The sequence below is a fragment of the Homo sapiens genome, chromosome 2, assembly GCF_000001405.40.
Source record: "Homo sapiens chromosome 2, GRCh38.p14 Primary Assembly".
Classification (NCBI taxonomy): domain Eukaryota; kingdom Metazoa; phylum Chordata; class Mammalia; order Primates; family Hominidae; genus Homo; species Homo sapiens.
This window is the reverse complement of record NC_000002.12, coordinates 134,487,001-134,502,527: the sequence shown is the minus strand read 5'-3', so window position 1 is coordinate 134,502,527 and position 15,527 is coordinate 134,487,001. Positions and strand designations below refer to the sequence as shown.

The 15,527-nt window shown below is 44.2% G+C and overlaps 1 protein-coding gene and 1 long non-coding RNA gene across 2 annotated transcripts in view; one reads left to right on the top strand and one right to left on the bottom strand.

Moving 5' to 3' along the window:
- TMEM163 (transmembrane protein 163) overlaps positions 1 to 15,527 on the top strand; it is a 263,242-nt gene that overhangs the window by 216,473 nt on the left and 31,242 nt on the right. The window lies entirely within an intron of this gene.
- Positions 5,698 to 10,544, bottom strand: LOC124906076 (uncharacterized). The gene is made up of 3 exons (XR_007087242.1): positions 10,439 to 10,544; positions 7,891 to 8,056; positions 5,698 to 6,127 (listed from the first exon to the last, which is right to left on the bottom strand). It is a non-coding gene; the product is annotated as an uncharacterized LOC124906076 (long non-coding RNA).

Genomic DNA, 15,527 nt, shown 5'->3' with positions numbered 1-15,527 from the left:
TATTTTTTTCCTTTGCACCTCAATTCAGTCATAAATCTATTCATGTTAGGTTTTCTGGCACAATTGACACTGGGATATTGAAACTGGAGGACACAAATTCATATTAAAATGTGTCTTTGACTGCTTTGTCCTCTGGGTGAGAGTCATTACCGGCACTCTGATTCTTTTTCCCTCCCTCCCCTTATGAGTGCTGAGAAAAGAAATATTTTTACAGCCTCCTGTCATGCAGTCTTCGTGACAGGCAGCTGATGTGGTTACCAGGAGATGAAGATGCTGCCATTACAATAATTCCCTGTGTACAAGTTGCAATGGAAATTTGAATGCAAAATCTGGTCTCCTCTTAGGATGTGATTTGATGTGAGCTTGGCTACATGCACCATCTGATATAAGACCAAAATGATTAGACCTTTAATTTTACTTTTGAAAAAAGATATTAATCCTTGTTGGGTGATGTATTGCATGTATGTGTGTTTGTGTGTATATGTGTGTTTTTATAGGGAAGATGAAAATGAGGTGAGACATTCTCCTGCATTTAGTAGAGGCATGAAAGTGGCTGCTTTAAGTTGTTTTCCTCACTCCCTTGTAAATGATTAGTGCCATCCCTTTAATGATCCACCAGGATTTTAACTGTTATTTATCACCACAGTTGGCCAGCGCTTACTCTCTAACATCTCAGTGACAGGGAGGAAAAATGGATATGGGGATAGGAATGTACCTATTTGTGGTATTTAGTCTTTTTCAGAAGCAGAGATAGCCCGAACAAATATTACCATTTATTACAGTCCTGTGCTCTTCATCTCCTACTTAACCAATCTCCCTGGTTGCCTGGCATATGGGACTCTCGCGTCCTCCTCCTCCATCAGACTTGCTAGCCTGCATTTCATTCAGTCAGAATCTGAACCTTAGGTAAGATATGAGGGCACCAAGTGTGATTATACATGTTAGATGTCAGTCAGGTAACGTCTACGTTTTATAGGCCTTGCAAATATGCCTCCACTCTGAGAAATGTTTGTTGGTGGGCATTTTCTGCACTATGCCAGTTGACACATTCATTTATTTGGCATTAAAAATTAATTTCCAGCAGGGCTCATGTGATAGGGGATGGATGGCTGTGCTCACGGCCCTTGTAATGGCTCTCCTTGTTATTCTCCCGATAGCTGAACCACTTTTAACTGGGAGCAATCTGTTATTATCCCACAGTGCAAATACTCTTAAGAGAAGCAGCTCACCGACTTACATTCCCCCTCAAGGTGTACATATCCAACACCCAGCCTCACCTGGGGTTCAGAGAAGCTGAAGATTCCATGGTTGCGCCTGTCCTTACAGAACCCATACCATCTGTACCTTTGATGAATTGTGCTATGGGATTGTAAACATTTAATTTACTTATTTTTTTAAATTGACAATAATGATAATTTATGGGGTACATAGTGATGTTTTGATACATATCATGTATAGTGACCAGATTAGGGTAATTAGTGAATTACCATATCCATTATCTCAAACATTTATTATTTCTGTGTTGGGAACATTCAGTATCCCTCTCCTAGCTATATAATATGTGATATATTATACAATTATAACCTATATAGTATATTATTGTTCACTCTAGTCATCCTATAATTGTTTAGAACACTAGAACTTATTCCTCCTATCTAGCTGTAATTTTGTATCCTTTAACAAGTCCCTCCCTTCCCCCTCCCCTCCCCAGTCTCTGGAATCCTCTGTTTTACTTTTTACTCTTACACAATCACCTCTTTCTAATTCGCACATGAGTGAAAACATGTGATGCTTGTCTTTGTGTGTCTGGCTTATCTCACTTAACGTAATGACCTCCAGTTCCATCCGTGTTGTAGCGAATGACAGGATGTCACTTTTTTTTTTTATGGCAGAATCGTATTCCATTGTGTATATATGCCACATTTTCTTTATCCTTTCATCCATTGTTGGTGTGGGATTTAAAAATCACACCCATTTATGGTCATCTCATCAGAACTCTGAAGAAGCGATGCCAGATGGTTTTGCTGGTGGTTTTGTTTAAGCCTTCAGAGTTGTTAACTAAGGAGCTTTCAAGCTGTGTGAGCTCCCATCTCCAGAGGGGAAGGCCTCCTCCTCGGCTGAGGGCTGAGTGGCCCACGGGGCCAGGTAAATGCTGCCAGGTGGCAGCTGACCGTGTCTGTCTCCATCCTGGGTCTTCTGGTTCCCTTGGCTAGAGGTTTATAGAAGCCAACAGGTGACAGCCAGGCCCCTGACCTCTGGCCTGCAGTAATCCAAAATGTGCATTTATTCACAATGCTTCATCTCAATTAGGAGTCAAACTCAAATGCTGGTAGAAGCCAGTTCTGAAGCAAAAATAGGAGAAACTGACCAGGTCTGTGGCAACTGGGGTGTGCGCACTTGGATGAAGGGCCTGGCCTCCTCTGGAGATATCATGCTGGAATGTGGGCTGTACGGAAGACTCATCATCATCATGTCTTCTGAGTGTTAAAAAGGAAGTGGAAACCTATGTTTAATGTGAGATAAACTGGCAACTAATTAAACATTTTTGAAAACTCTGGTTGAGAGTGGGTGGATAATTTCATGCAGGTTAAATAAAGCATGGCTCCTGGCTGCACATAGAGAGTTTGCTGCTTCTGCAGAAACCAGGCTGTGAGGGTAGGATCTGGGCAAAACCAGGGAGACCAGTGTTTAGGGCCTCTGTGTCACAGACTTAGCTCCGAGTGACACCTCCCCCTTAGTCTCAGTTGCAGAACTGCGTTTTACATGGGATTTCTGTCCAGCTGTGACTGTAGGTTCTGTCAGAAACAGCGTCTTCCCTTCCCCAGCCCTGTCCCTTGGCAGCCTTCTTTTTAGTTTCGCTGCACGGTTCTCAGAGTGGGAATAATTGCAGGAATGGGTGAGTTTTGAGTAAGAGAGCTGTGCAATTGGAATTTCCCAACTGTAAAGTTGGTTGACTCTGAGCCTCGTGGTGTTGCCTGCCCCTCAGGGTTTTGCTGGAGCAGTCAGGCCAGCTGGCTCTCTGGGGAACTGGAACAGGACCTGGGGACTCTGCTCCAGGGCTGTGTGGGCAAATGGCTACAGGCTGCTGCCTCCCAACCTGCAGGTGGTTCATGAAACAGATTCCGCAGAGCCGTCTCTGAAACTGCAGTTCTGGAAGCCGGGATGTGTGTGGCCTGTGCCACAATGGTAGTAATAGTGCTTTCCTTTTACCAATAGGCTGCTTAATTTTTGTTTGTTTTATTTTAGCATGAAAAGATAGTTTTAATCAAAATAAGCAGGTTCCAGAAACCCATGACACTACTGACCCTCTGCCTCCCCGACTGCATCTTTTTTATTTAGTTATTATATTTTTTTAATTAACAAGTAAAAATGGTATATCTTTATGATGTCTTAACCATTCCACAGTGATGCGTATATTAATATGGGTTGTTTTAAAAGAAGTATCTTGCTCTCCCCGTTTTTACCCCACCAGCCACGCCTGGCTTTGGTAAGAAGGGGCAGGTGGCAAGCTTATCCTTTGCTCGAGGACCCAGGGGCTCTGAAAGCTGAAGTGATCTTCCTGAGATCGTCAGCTGGGTGGCGGCAGAGCCTGGATTTGAACCTGGTCTCCTCGTCCAGGACTATCTTGGCCCTGGCACATGGGGCCTTTAGGATCCTGCTGCCCATTGGCTTTTTGGCTCCGGCCTCCTGTCTGTCTTCTCCCCACACTCCTGAGGGCAGTGCTGCCGAGGGCTGTCCCAAAGCAGGAGGATGTGCAGGCCCCCAGCTGGCTCTGCCTGTCCCTGGCCTTTCTGGCTACTCCTGCCACCTATGACCCTTTCCATATGGGCCCCTTCACTCTGTGCTGCTGACCAGGGTGTGCCTCCACTACCTTGTCTCTTGAAAGCCCACATGCTGGCTGGGCGTGGTGGCTCACGCCTATAATTCCAGCACTTTGGGAGGCCGAGACAGGCGGATCACCTAAGGCCAGGAGTTCGAGACCAGCCTGGCTAACATGGTGAAACCCCGTCTCTACTAAAAATACAAAAAAAATAAATAAATTAGCCAGGTGTGGTGGTAGCCTGTAATCCCAGCTACTCGGGAGGCTGAGGTGGAAGAATTGCTTGAACCAGATTGCACTCCAGCCTGGGCGACAGTGCAAGACTCCGTCTCAAAAAAAAAAAAAAAAAAAAAGCCCACATGCAAGTGCACCAAGCATCGGTGGAGACTGCAGCAGGACAGTGTGGGATGAGGAGAAGGGGGGATGCGTGGAGCACGTGGAGGGTGGCGCTGGAGTGAAGCTGCTGAGCATGGTGGGAGGGCTTGGGCGTGGCCGCATCTGTCCAAGGTGTGGCGCTCTCTACCTTTTCTTACCTGTGTGACTGCAGGCAAGTCATGCAGTCACCCTGACTCTGGGGCCCCTCTTAGGTAAAATGGAGATGGCACCTCCATCCAAGGCTTATGATAAGGATCAAATGAACAGTTAGTTAGGAGAATCGGCAGTAGAGGAGAGCCCTGCTGTGGAGGCTGCTGCTCTTCTGCCTTTTGAAGTTTCTGAATTGCTAATCAAGGTTGCCCCAAATAGTGGCCAGAGGTGATTTCAGACTCAGCTCCTGAGCACCATCTCAACATGTCCAGTTGTGGCTTCTCTGATGCTTGGCCTTGTGGGGTCCCTGGATGGAGCTTGTATTGCTCTCTCTTGGGCTTCAGTCAGCTGTAGCTGTCTTTGTCTGGGGAAAGCTGAACATGCCATTGGAAGACCTGACCTCTAGGCCTAACCCACCCCTAACTGGCTGAGTGACTTTTAGCAAATCACGCTTCCTCTCTGAGCAAGTTTCTTCACGACAAAAATGGATGCAGTACCCAGTACTCCACAACAGAACTGTGAGAAGTAAATGATGTAATAATGAATGTAGAAATGCTTTATAAACAGTCGCACGCTTTACAAAGGAAGAAGATGATATTGTTTCTAAATTTAAGGTTCTAGAAGTCCCGTCCTTGCCCTTGAGCTATCTCTGTGTCCTGATCAATGACCAGCTCATTAGTGGCCTCTGCCTTGCGTGGACCATGACCTCTTCACCTTGCGCTCTTGGCCAGTGTCTGGGCCCAGACTCCTTAAGTGGTCATGTGGCAATAATGCTGATTATCATTATAATTAGAATAATAAACAGCCACATGTTGGCAATAAATAATACATGAACATATGCTAATAATAATAATATTGGCTACCATTTGATTGCTCATCTCCAGACCAACCCTCTGTCTAGGCACTTGGGATTCAGAGTCAAATAGCAATAATGGCTAGAGTTTTTGCATTGCACTGCAAAGCCTTTTACTTCTTAGAGGACTTGGCTTTTGCTACCAAGGAGCACAGTTGGGGGAGAGACTCATTAGCTGCTACATTAAATATGTAGTGATAACAGCTATAATAGACACGATCACATGAGAACACAGAGGAGCTTTTTTTGTCAAGCCTGGAGTAGGGGGAGGTATGTGGGGACCTTCCCCAGTAAGCAGACACTCCATGCGACATCTGAAGGAAGGGTGGTTGTGGGCAAGGCAGGCGATGAGTGGGAGGAGGCGTGGGAAGAGGAGGCACTTCCAGGCGGAGCTGCAGAGGGGGCCACAGGTTCTGTGTGCACCTGTGGTCTCTGTCATGCTTTTGTGTCCTGTTTACGTGGAAGTCTCTGGGTAGAAGGAGGGAAGGAATAGGGAGAGCAAAGGAGGAGGGACAAGGAAGAAAGGAAAAATGACTTTGTGTTGTAAGTCAGAAATGATGCTTAGCAAAATTTTGTTTTCTCTGTCTTAATTAGTAAGGTTCCCCTTCCAAGCTCTCCTTGTCTGTCTCCTCCCTGAGTTTTTGCCTACAATTCCTTCCCATTCACTAGAACCAAGCAGCTTCCCTCCAGTGATAAAAGGGAGCCCCTCTCAGTTGTTCATTTCCCTGCAGTCATTAGCGTCATTTGGTCTCCAGTCCCCATGGATTGTGGCTCTGGCGAGGTGGCCATCTCTGTTCACTGGTGCATCCATTCAACAGGTGTTTTCTGGTGTGTCCTGCTCTTGAGGCCAGGCTGGCTCTGCAGGCCGTGTAGAGGTTGGTGGTGTTCCTGTAGGAGCCTCAGATGGGATTCCATGCTCCTGAGCAAAACTGGAAATAGAACTCTTGTCAAAGATATGTTAGGTTTGCGGCCTGGTGCGGTGGCTCATATCTGTAATCCCAGCACTTTGGGAGGCCGAGGCGGGCAGATCACTTGAGGTCAGGGGTTTGAGACCAGCCTGGCCAATATGGTGAAACCCTGTCTCTACTAAAAATACAAAAATTAGCTGGGCGTGGTGGTGGGCACCTGTAATCCCAGCTACTTGGGAGGCTGAGGCAGGAGAATTGGTTGAACCCTGGAGGTGGAGGCCGCAGTGAGCCAAGATTGCGCCACTGCACTCCAGCCTGGGTGACAGAGCGAGACTCCGTCTCAAAAAAAAAAAAAAATAGTTAAGCCTTGGATTTTGTGAAATTACAACAAATTTCGTTATAGATCTAACCGACTTCTATTCATGGTGGATGAATTGGGGAGTCCTCCGTTCTATAACATAGGATGGGAGCTTCCAGGGGGCAATGGCAGAATAGTGGGCTTCATGAGGTGGGAACAAGGAAACAGAAATAGAAGAAAAGCAGACTGGTTAACATTGGGTTACTTTAAATTACTTTTTTTGTATGGATTAAAGCAGAGGGGACTTTCTTGTGACACTAACTTAGGTAGACTGGAATCTTCTGTTTTCAGGAAAAAATAGTCTGTTTTGGGATCTGTCTGCTTCATGAAAGTTTCAGTTTGGTTATGTGGCATTTAGCATGAACGACTCCATTCTTGTTTGGTCTGGTCTGTTGGGGCCTAGTGCAGGAGCTCAGGCCAAAGCAATGGCCTCTCAGAGTTTTGTGTAACGATTTGGAAGCCCCCAGCCAAGAACTTTTCCCAGAGATGTCCCACCTGTGGAGGTGACTGTGATTCTTCCATCATAGGCTTCTGTGTATGCACCATGTTCAGTGTTCAACCTGTAGTTTGGGGTGTCAGGAGTGATTGATATGTTCTTCAGCCATTTATTATCTCACTCTCAGTGAGTTTTGCCTTGAGGAGGATCGAGACAGCCTCGCCTGCCTTCTCCCCACACCCTTGTCTACAGTACAGCGTGCCATTTGTCCTCTCACTCATCCTTCCCTCCCACTCAGGGCCGCTCCCCTCCACCCAGGCTGGAGTGCCAACCTTAACTCTGTGAGCTCCCTCCTGCTTTCCTACTTGGAAATGTGGCTTCTGTACACATGCCTTCTTTTTCGGGTGTCTCCTAGCCACTTGTGGCCAAGCCACCTTCCCAGGCATTGACTTCCAGCCCCTTCCCTGACTTTGCCACTCGTGAAAGCGCTCTCTGAAGACACTCATCCTTTCCTTTGCCTCCCTTTTGACACATCCAAGTTCAATTCCCACCACCCCTCAGCCTGCCCTGGCAGTAGATTCTTCACGGCAACCCTTTGGAGGCAGGAAACGTTTGACAGAGGGAGGGAGAACCTGGGAGGGAGAACCTGGGAGGCAGCAGTAAAGGGTGAATGGTTTCCCAGGATTGCTGCCCATGCAGTCAGCGTGTCTGCCGGGGGTCTTCTGAAGCAAGTGCCTCACCCATGGGAATGAGTTCCTGAGGGTTCTCTTGGCACCAGTGAGTGCCTGGGGGACCCGGAGCATAGGGGTTAAGGATGCCCAGGAGACAGCCCAACCCTGCCATGCTCTAACTGGCTGTTTAATCTCTCTCTGCCTCAGTTTCTTTGTAATGTGGAAATAATAATGGTAATTTCTTTATAGGATTGTTAAGAAAATAAAAAGATGTAGGGGATGTGCTTAGCATATAACTATGAAAGTAATGTTGGCTTACATGATGGCTGTTGGAGTAGAGGAGAGGCTTCCAAGCAAGTTGGTGGGCCTTTTGGCGCCTCTGGTTCTAGAAGATTAAGCCGTATCAAACAGTCCATGAAATGCCTTCAGGGACGCTCTTCTCAGCTCAGGATGGGTAATGCCGTAGGTTCCTTCTTGAGCATAACCTATAATTCCGAGATCCGCCGTCAGCAATAGAAAGATTCATCCTCTAGTATGACATGCTGTCAAGTGTAACTCTGAATTTAATTGGGGAGTTTTATTAATTGTTTTTAAAAACAATCATATGTGGTCAAAGTCCTCAACATCTGCCCATCACCATCTCCTCAGCACTGCACAGAGAAGCAGAAATCATTGTGTCAGACTATCAGTGCCATCTTACTGTTGTTACTCAAGACAAAATAATTCCATTTCCTCAGCAAGATTGACCTCTTCATTTATCCTAGAGCAAGAACCTACCAACTTCTAAACAGAATAGAACTGGGCACTGATGAAAGTGGATTATTAACAGACGGAAGGGAGAGAGAATGTGTGTGTGGCGGGGGTTGGCACTCTCCCTCCCTTCTGTCTGTTAACAATCCTTTTTCATCAGTGCCTAGTTCCGGTGGGGGGATATGTGTAGGTCTATTTCTGGACTTGATACTTTCTTTGTACTCCTAAGGACGTACTCATACAAGGAGAATATCAGATCCAGAAATAGACCTGCACATATCTAGTCAAGTGGTTTTTGACAGAGGTGCCAAGGTAATTCAATGGGGGAAAGGAAAGTCTCCTCAACAAATGGTGCTGGATCACCCAGGTTGCCATATGGACAAAAAGGGGCATCAACCCTTATTCAAGAGCTAACTCAAAATGGATCATAAGCCTCAATGTAAAACCTGAAACTATACAACTTCTAGAAGAAAACAAAAGAGAAAATTGTTGCAATCTTGGGATAGCCAAAATTTTCTTAGACATGGCACCAAAAGGCTGGGCGCAGTGGCTCACGCCTGTAATCCCAGCACTTCGGGAGGCCGAGGCGGGCAGATCGCCTGAGGTCAGGAGTTCAAGACTCCTGGCCAACGTGGTGAAACCCTGTCTCTACTAAAAATGAAAAAATTAGCTGGGCATGGTGGCAGGTGCCTGTAATCTCAGCTACTTGGGAGGCTGAGGTAGGAGAATTGCTTGAACCCCAGAGACAGAGGTTGCAGTGAGCTGAGACTGCACCACTGTACTCCAGACTGGGCGACAGAGTGAGACTCCATCTCAAAAAAAAAAAAAAAAAAAAAAAAAAAAAGACACCAAAAGCTTGAACCATAAGTCAAAAAATTGAAAATTGGACTTCATCAGAATAAACTTTTGCTCTTCCAAGACACCACTAAGAAAATGACAAGATAGCACAGACAGCATATATATATATCAGACAAAGGTTTAGTATCCAGAATGTGTAAAGAATAGCTTAAGAAGGCAAACAACCCAATAAGAAAAGGGACTTATATGATTTATGCAGATAATTTATAAGAGAAGATAAAAATGGCCAAGAAGCACATGAAAAGATACTCAACATTACCCTAGTCATTGGGGGATAACAAATTAAACCACTACATATCCATTACAATATCTAAAATCAGAAAACAAATGAAAACCCCCCAAAACCAAAATTTGTGTGATGCATCTGGAACTCTTATGCTCTGATGGTGAGAGAGTAAAATGTTACAACCGCTTTGGAAAACAATCCAGGGTTTCCTTAAAAAGTCAAATATCTATTTACTGTAGGAACTAGCCATCCAACCTTAGGTATTTACCCAAGGGAAATGAAAATACATGTCTGCACAAAGACTCTTACACAAATGTTTATTGCAGTTTCATTTCTAATGTCAAAAACTGGAAACAACCTATATGTGTGTTAACAGGTGAATGGATAAAGAAATCGTGGTGCATTCACACAGTGGAAGACTGCTCGGTGGTAGACACTACTGACGCATGCGGTGATGTGGGTGGGTCTCAAAATAGTGAAGGTGGGTACCAGAAGCAAGGCAAAAAGGAGTATGTATTTAATACTATATGACTCTGTTTACTTAAATTTTTACCTACAAACTATAGTGAGAGAAAGCAGACAGTGGTTGCCTGAGGCTAGAGGTGGAGGGAGGGAGGAATTATTAAAGAATCATGGGAAAACTTTTGGGGGTGACGGAAATAGTCTCTGGCTTTTGGTAACAGTTACAGATACGTTAGTCTGTTAATTTATGTTAATCATAATTAAGATATGTTAATGCTGATCAAGGTGTATACTTTAAGTATATGAGGTTCAGGTGCACCCAGGGACTGTGGTTGGCCACAAACCATCTCCCGTTGCTAAGCCAAATAGCAATTCTGCTCAGATCCATGTAGGATAAATATTGTAAGGTGCTGTGAAGTGAGGTTTTGTTTTCCTGATTGTGACACATACACTCAGTACCTGAGATGTTGACCTCACTGCTAAAATTAATGCTGTAAATAGACAATAAGAAGACAAAGCGTATGATAAGAGGAGAAAGTGTAAATAGTAGGCTAAATATAACAGCTGTCACCAGAGGCAGATAGCAAGAGGAGCCTTTGCTGAACCACGGCCGATCTCATGCAGTTGCCAGAAACACCCATGAAGTGCCAGCAGGTGGCACAGGCTGGAGGGTGCTAACCACGTAAACCTCTGGAAGCACGGGCAGCTTATCCTTTCCATCTCCTGCTTACAGTAGGATTTGTTTGTCAGTTCGAGTGTTACCTAGGAAATGACTGTACAAGAGTCTCTGATTGGTCCTCTTTTCCTCACTCTGGAAACCTTGGATTTTAAGCAGGATGTGATATGTCTGTGAGCCGTCTGCCATGTTACTCTATTTTGTCTATTAAGCCTCTTTGTGTAAAAAGCAAAAAAAGAGCTTTTTAGCTTGATATCTCATTAGACCTTCAGGGTGTTTCTGAAGTAGGCAGAGGCGTTAGACACATTGCCATTTAATAACAAGGAAACAGATCCTCAGATAAATAAAACCACTCCTTCCAGACTACATCATATCAGTGTCAGAGACACAGGGCGAGTGGAACCAGGTCTTTTAAGGGGTGGAGGGTGCTTTCTGGTCCACGGAGTGTCTCCTGAAGTACCATAGAATTTGGGATCTGAAAGCCTCCATGAAAAGCTAATACAACTGGCCAAGTTTCCTGATAGAGGAAATACGGCCCCGAGACTCAGTCTCTCAGAAGATTCTGAGAAAACTCCAAGTCTAGGACTTTTCCACACTCTCCTGAATGGGGTGAACTCCCCACCCCCATCTTCCCAGTGGCCTTGGAGACTTATCCTAGGGGGTGCTGGGTTAGGGAAAGAAAAATAGAGAAGAGAGCGAGGTGAGGGAGACACGCTCATCTCTCCAGCCCCCAGCCTGCTCTAGAGGCATCTGTGTATTCAGGACACTGGTGTTCGTCAGAGATGGGTATGGGAGTATCAGGGCTGAGTGCTTCGCTCTTCACATGCCTCTCTACTTGACTTGGGACACTGAGTGAATCTTTTGCTTTTCATGTTTCCATCTGGAATGTGAAAACAAACTAACTTAGCTCTTCTTTCTCTCTGTAAGGTTTTGAGAACACCTTCCTATCTTTTGAAGAAAGAAGATGTTTTAAAAGGTGTTTAACAGTTTAAGGAAAATATTTTTTTTCATTGAGTTTCCTAAGTATAATATGAACAACATGATCCTCATAACATTTCTGGCTGTTTTGTTGATTGTCTAGCTAATGGAGAGAATCATACTGAATGCTTTTTTTATTTCCCAAGCTCTGAAATATCCCTGATTATGTGGTGCACACAATACACCCTAGCACAGCAAAGCGGCGTCTGTGAGCTCTAGCGGTCATGAGGGTCCCCTTTACGTGACATGTGACATGTGTTCCAGCCTCCATCTATCATAGGAGCCATGTGGTCACTTGGGAGTTTTCTGCCTGTGACCAGCATATGAGTATTTGTTACCAAAGTTGTTAGGGAAACACTTCATGCTTTTTTGGGAAGTAATTTGGGAAAAACTGAGTAAAAATTCTTAACCTTTCAGTAATCCTATTAAAATGGGATATCTGATCATCCCAGGCCCTTGTGGGAGTTGAGAGATTCTGAGACCAAGATGAGCTAAACACAGGATCTTTTCTCTAAAGAACTTTCCAGGGAGAGTCAGAACATGGAAGCCAGGCTGACTGTGGGTGCTTGTGAAGGTCAGTTGTGTTCAGGAGGGACCCCTGGACCTGCTCCTTGAGTATCTGTAGTGTTGGCTGTTCTGAAGAGGGAGGCTGTATTCAGAGAGGGTTGTAAGAGGAAAGAGCCATGAAGTGCTGTGGTCCTTGACACTTCCCCACTACCGCTGGTGAGAGATAGTGTTGCCACTGGCTTCTGCCTGCTAGCCATCGAGTTTAGCTAACCCTGCCCCCGACCCCATTTTGAATGCCCCAAACATCACCCAGCTGGTGGCGCTCCGATGACACCTCATGTAGACTGTTGGAGTAGCTCAGCACACTGCATTATAATTCTTTGTCTACTTGTCTCTCAAAGGAGACTGTAAACTCTTGGAGGACTAGACTCGCTGTTCAGCAAAGCACCTAATATAGGACCTGGCATGGGGTGGGAACTCAATAAATGTTTGCTGAATGAGTGAATTCATGTGTGCACGTGGCCATTAGCTGTAGCAGGCGGTAAGCTGGTACTGCACTTAGGAAAGGGATATAACCAGGAGGAGTTCATCTTTCGGGGAATCCCCAACAGAGGCTGCCTGGGACCTTGCTGTGGACATTTTTACACCCCTTTGGAAGAGAAAGAGATGGCAAAAGGGGCTTGTCCCAGATTATTCGCCCTCGTTCATGGTCTGAACTTCATATCCTCTCTGTGCTGTGGGGATGATGAATGTGAACAGATGATGTGCAGGTGAGGCAGCCCATGTGCATAAGTATGGCCCCTTTCACCATCACCTCCAATTATTATATGATACATAATCATATCATAGGAACTATAACATTGTTGTGGGTTATTCCATGGATGGATATTGCACATAACACACTGCAACTTTTTTTTTTTTTTTGAGAGAGAGTCTTGCTCTGTTGCCAGGCTGGAGTGCAGTGGTGCGATCTCGGCTCACTGTAACCTCTGCCTCCCGAGTTCAAATGATTCTCCTGCCTCAGCCTCCCAAATAGCTGGGACTACAGTGCCCACCACTGCACCTGGCTAATTTTGGTGTTTTTAGTAGAGACGGGGTTTTTCCCTGTTGGCCGGGATGGTCTTGATCTCTTAACCTCATGATCCACCCGCCTCAGCCTCTCAAAGTGCTGGGATTACAGGTGTGAACCATCATCATCACGCCTGGCCCACACTGCAACTTTTTTACTCAACATAGTCTTAAGATCTAGAATATTTATAATGTGAATTGTTCATCATATAAATGTAGGTGCTTTAGGCCTTCCCTGGTTGATGGACATTTGGGTAGTTTCCAGTTTTTTATTATTACAGTGTTGTTAGAATGAACATTGTCATACTCTCATGGTAGTATGTACCGTGTGAGGATGGTGTTTCTCTAGGGTAAACATGGATTTTGGATCGTAGACTATGCCCATGTTTCATTTTATAGATCTTCCCAAGTGCCCTTCGGTGTGGCTGCCCTAGTTCATGTTCTCAGAATGTTACCACACTTTATATTTTCAAACTTATCACAATTTTCCAGACTAATGGGTGGAAAATGGTATCTCATTTTAATTTGCTCTCCCCTGGTTATTGGTGAAGTTGATTATATTTTTATGCATCTGCTGACTTTTTATGTTTCCTCTTTTATAAATTGCTGCTTTATATGTTTTGCCCATTTATCTATTGTTATCTTTTTCCCACAGGTTTTTAGGAGTTATTTATCTGTGTTCCAGGTACCAGTCTTGTTCTATGTTGTATTAGTCAGGGTTCTCTAGAGGGACAGAACTAATAGGATATGTGTGTATATGAAAATGAGTCTGTTAAGGAGTATTGACTCACATGATCACATGCTAAAGTCCCACAATAGGCCATCTGCAAGCTGAGGAGCAAGGAAGCCAGTCTGAGTCCCAAAACCTCAAAAGTAGGGAAGCCGATGGTGCAGCCTTCAGTCTGTGGCCGAAGACCTGAGAGCTCCTGGCAGTTCACTGGTGTAAGTCCAGGAGTCCAAAAGCTGAAGAACTTGGAGTCTGATGTTTGAGGGCAGGAAGCACCCAGCACGGGAGAAAGATGAAGGCTGGAAGACTCAGCAAGTTCACTCCTTCCACATTCTTCTGCCTGCTTTATTCTAGCCACACTGGCAGCTGATTAGGTCTGCTGCTCCCAGTCCACTGACTCAAAAGTTAATCTCTTTTTACTTTGGGAGGCTGAGGCAGGGGGATCATCTGAGATCAGGAGTTCAAGATAAAATGTTAATCTCCTTTGTGAACACCCTCACAGACACACCCAGGAATAATACTTTGCATCCTTCAGTCTAATCAAGTTGGCACTCAATATTAACCATCACATATGTGCATTGCAAATAATTTCGCCTAATATTTAGTTTTTCTTTTAATATTGTCTATCTGTTGCTATTAGAAATCTTCCCACCCTTTCCATTTTGGTGTGATCAAATTTATCAGTCTTTTTTTTTTTTAAATGGAGATTGTGGTGGTTTGTTTTTGTTTGGCAAGGGAGGACATAGAGGTTTAAGAAGGTCTATTGCCCTGATGCCATGAAGATATATACCTGTATTATCTTTTAAAAGATATTAAAGGTTAGACTTTAAAATTAGATCTTTAATTCATCTAGAATTTGTATTTGGTATGAGGTAGGGATCCAATTTGGTTTTTCTTTTACTCAGATGAATATACAACTTGCCCAAGATGATTTCAAAGGCCACCTCCATCATGTGCCATGTTCTCATAGGTGCACAGCTGTCCCTGGACTTGCCGTTCCATTCTGTGGATGCGTGGGTCCATTTTGTTCTAGAGTCATTCTCTAAAATTCCTGTAATTACAATGAGTCTTAATGTTTGGTCACCATCTTTTCTTGGATTTTCAAAGTGGTTTTGACTAACATTGCATTAGTAATATTCCATACGAATTTCAAAACTGGTTTGCCAAGTTTAATGAAAAATCCTGTTGGGGTGTTGTGTGAAGTTGCATCGAATTTATTAATTCTGAGAGAATTGGCTTGCTTTAACAATTGCATCCTCCCTTCCATTTCATCCTTCTCTGTTAAGGTTTTCTTTTATGTCCTTTGGTGAAATTTTTATCAGGGCAATTCCTCTATATTTTGTGAGTTTTATTGCTATTAAGTGTTTGTATTTAATTAATTTTCTCAATTATTACTGCATAAGAAAGCTAATGATACTTGAATATTGTTCTCATTAACCTGCAACCTTGCTGACTTTTTAAAAATTAGTTTTATTTTTATCAATGGATTATTTTGGGTATGTTTTATAATGCCACTTTGTTTCTCTTTTCAAATTCTATATTTTTTCCTTTTTTGTTTCTTATTAGCCAAGGTTTTCAATATAGTGTTGGTGGTAAGGGTGCTATCCTATATCCTTCTGTTGGTTCTTACTGTAACAGAAGGGCTTCTCAATTTCATTACCAAAAGTGGTTTGTTGCTGTTTGCTAAGAGGTTTGCTTGTTTGG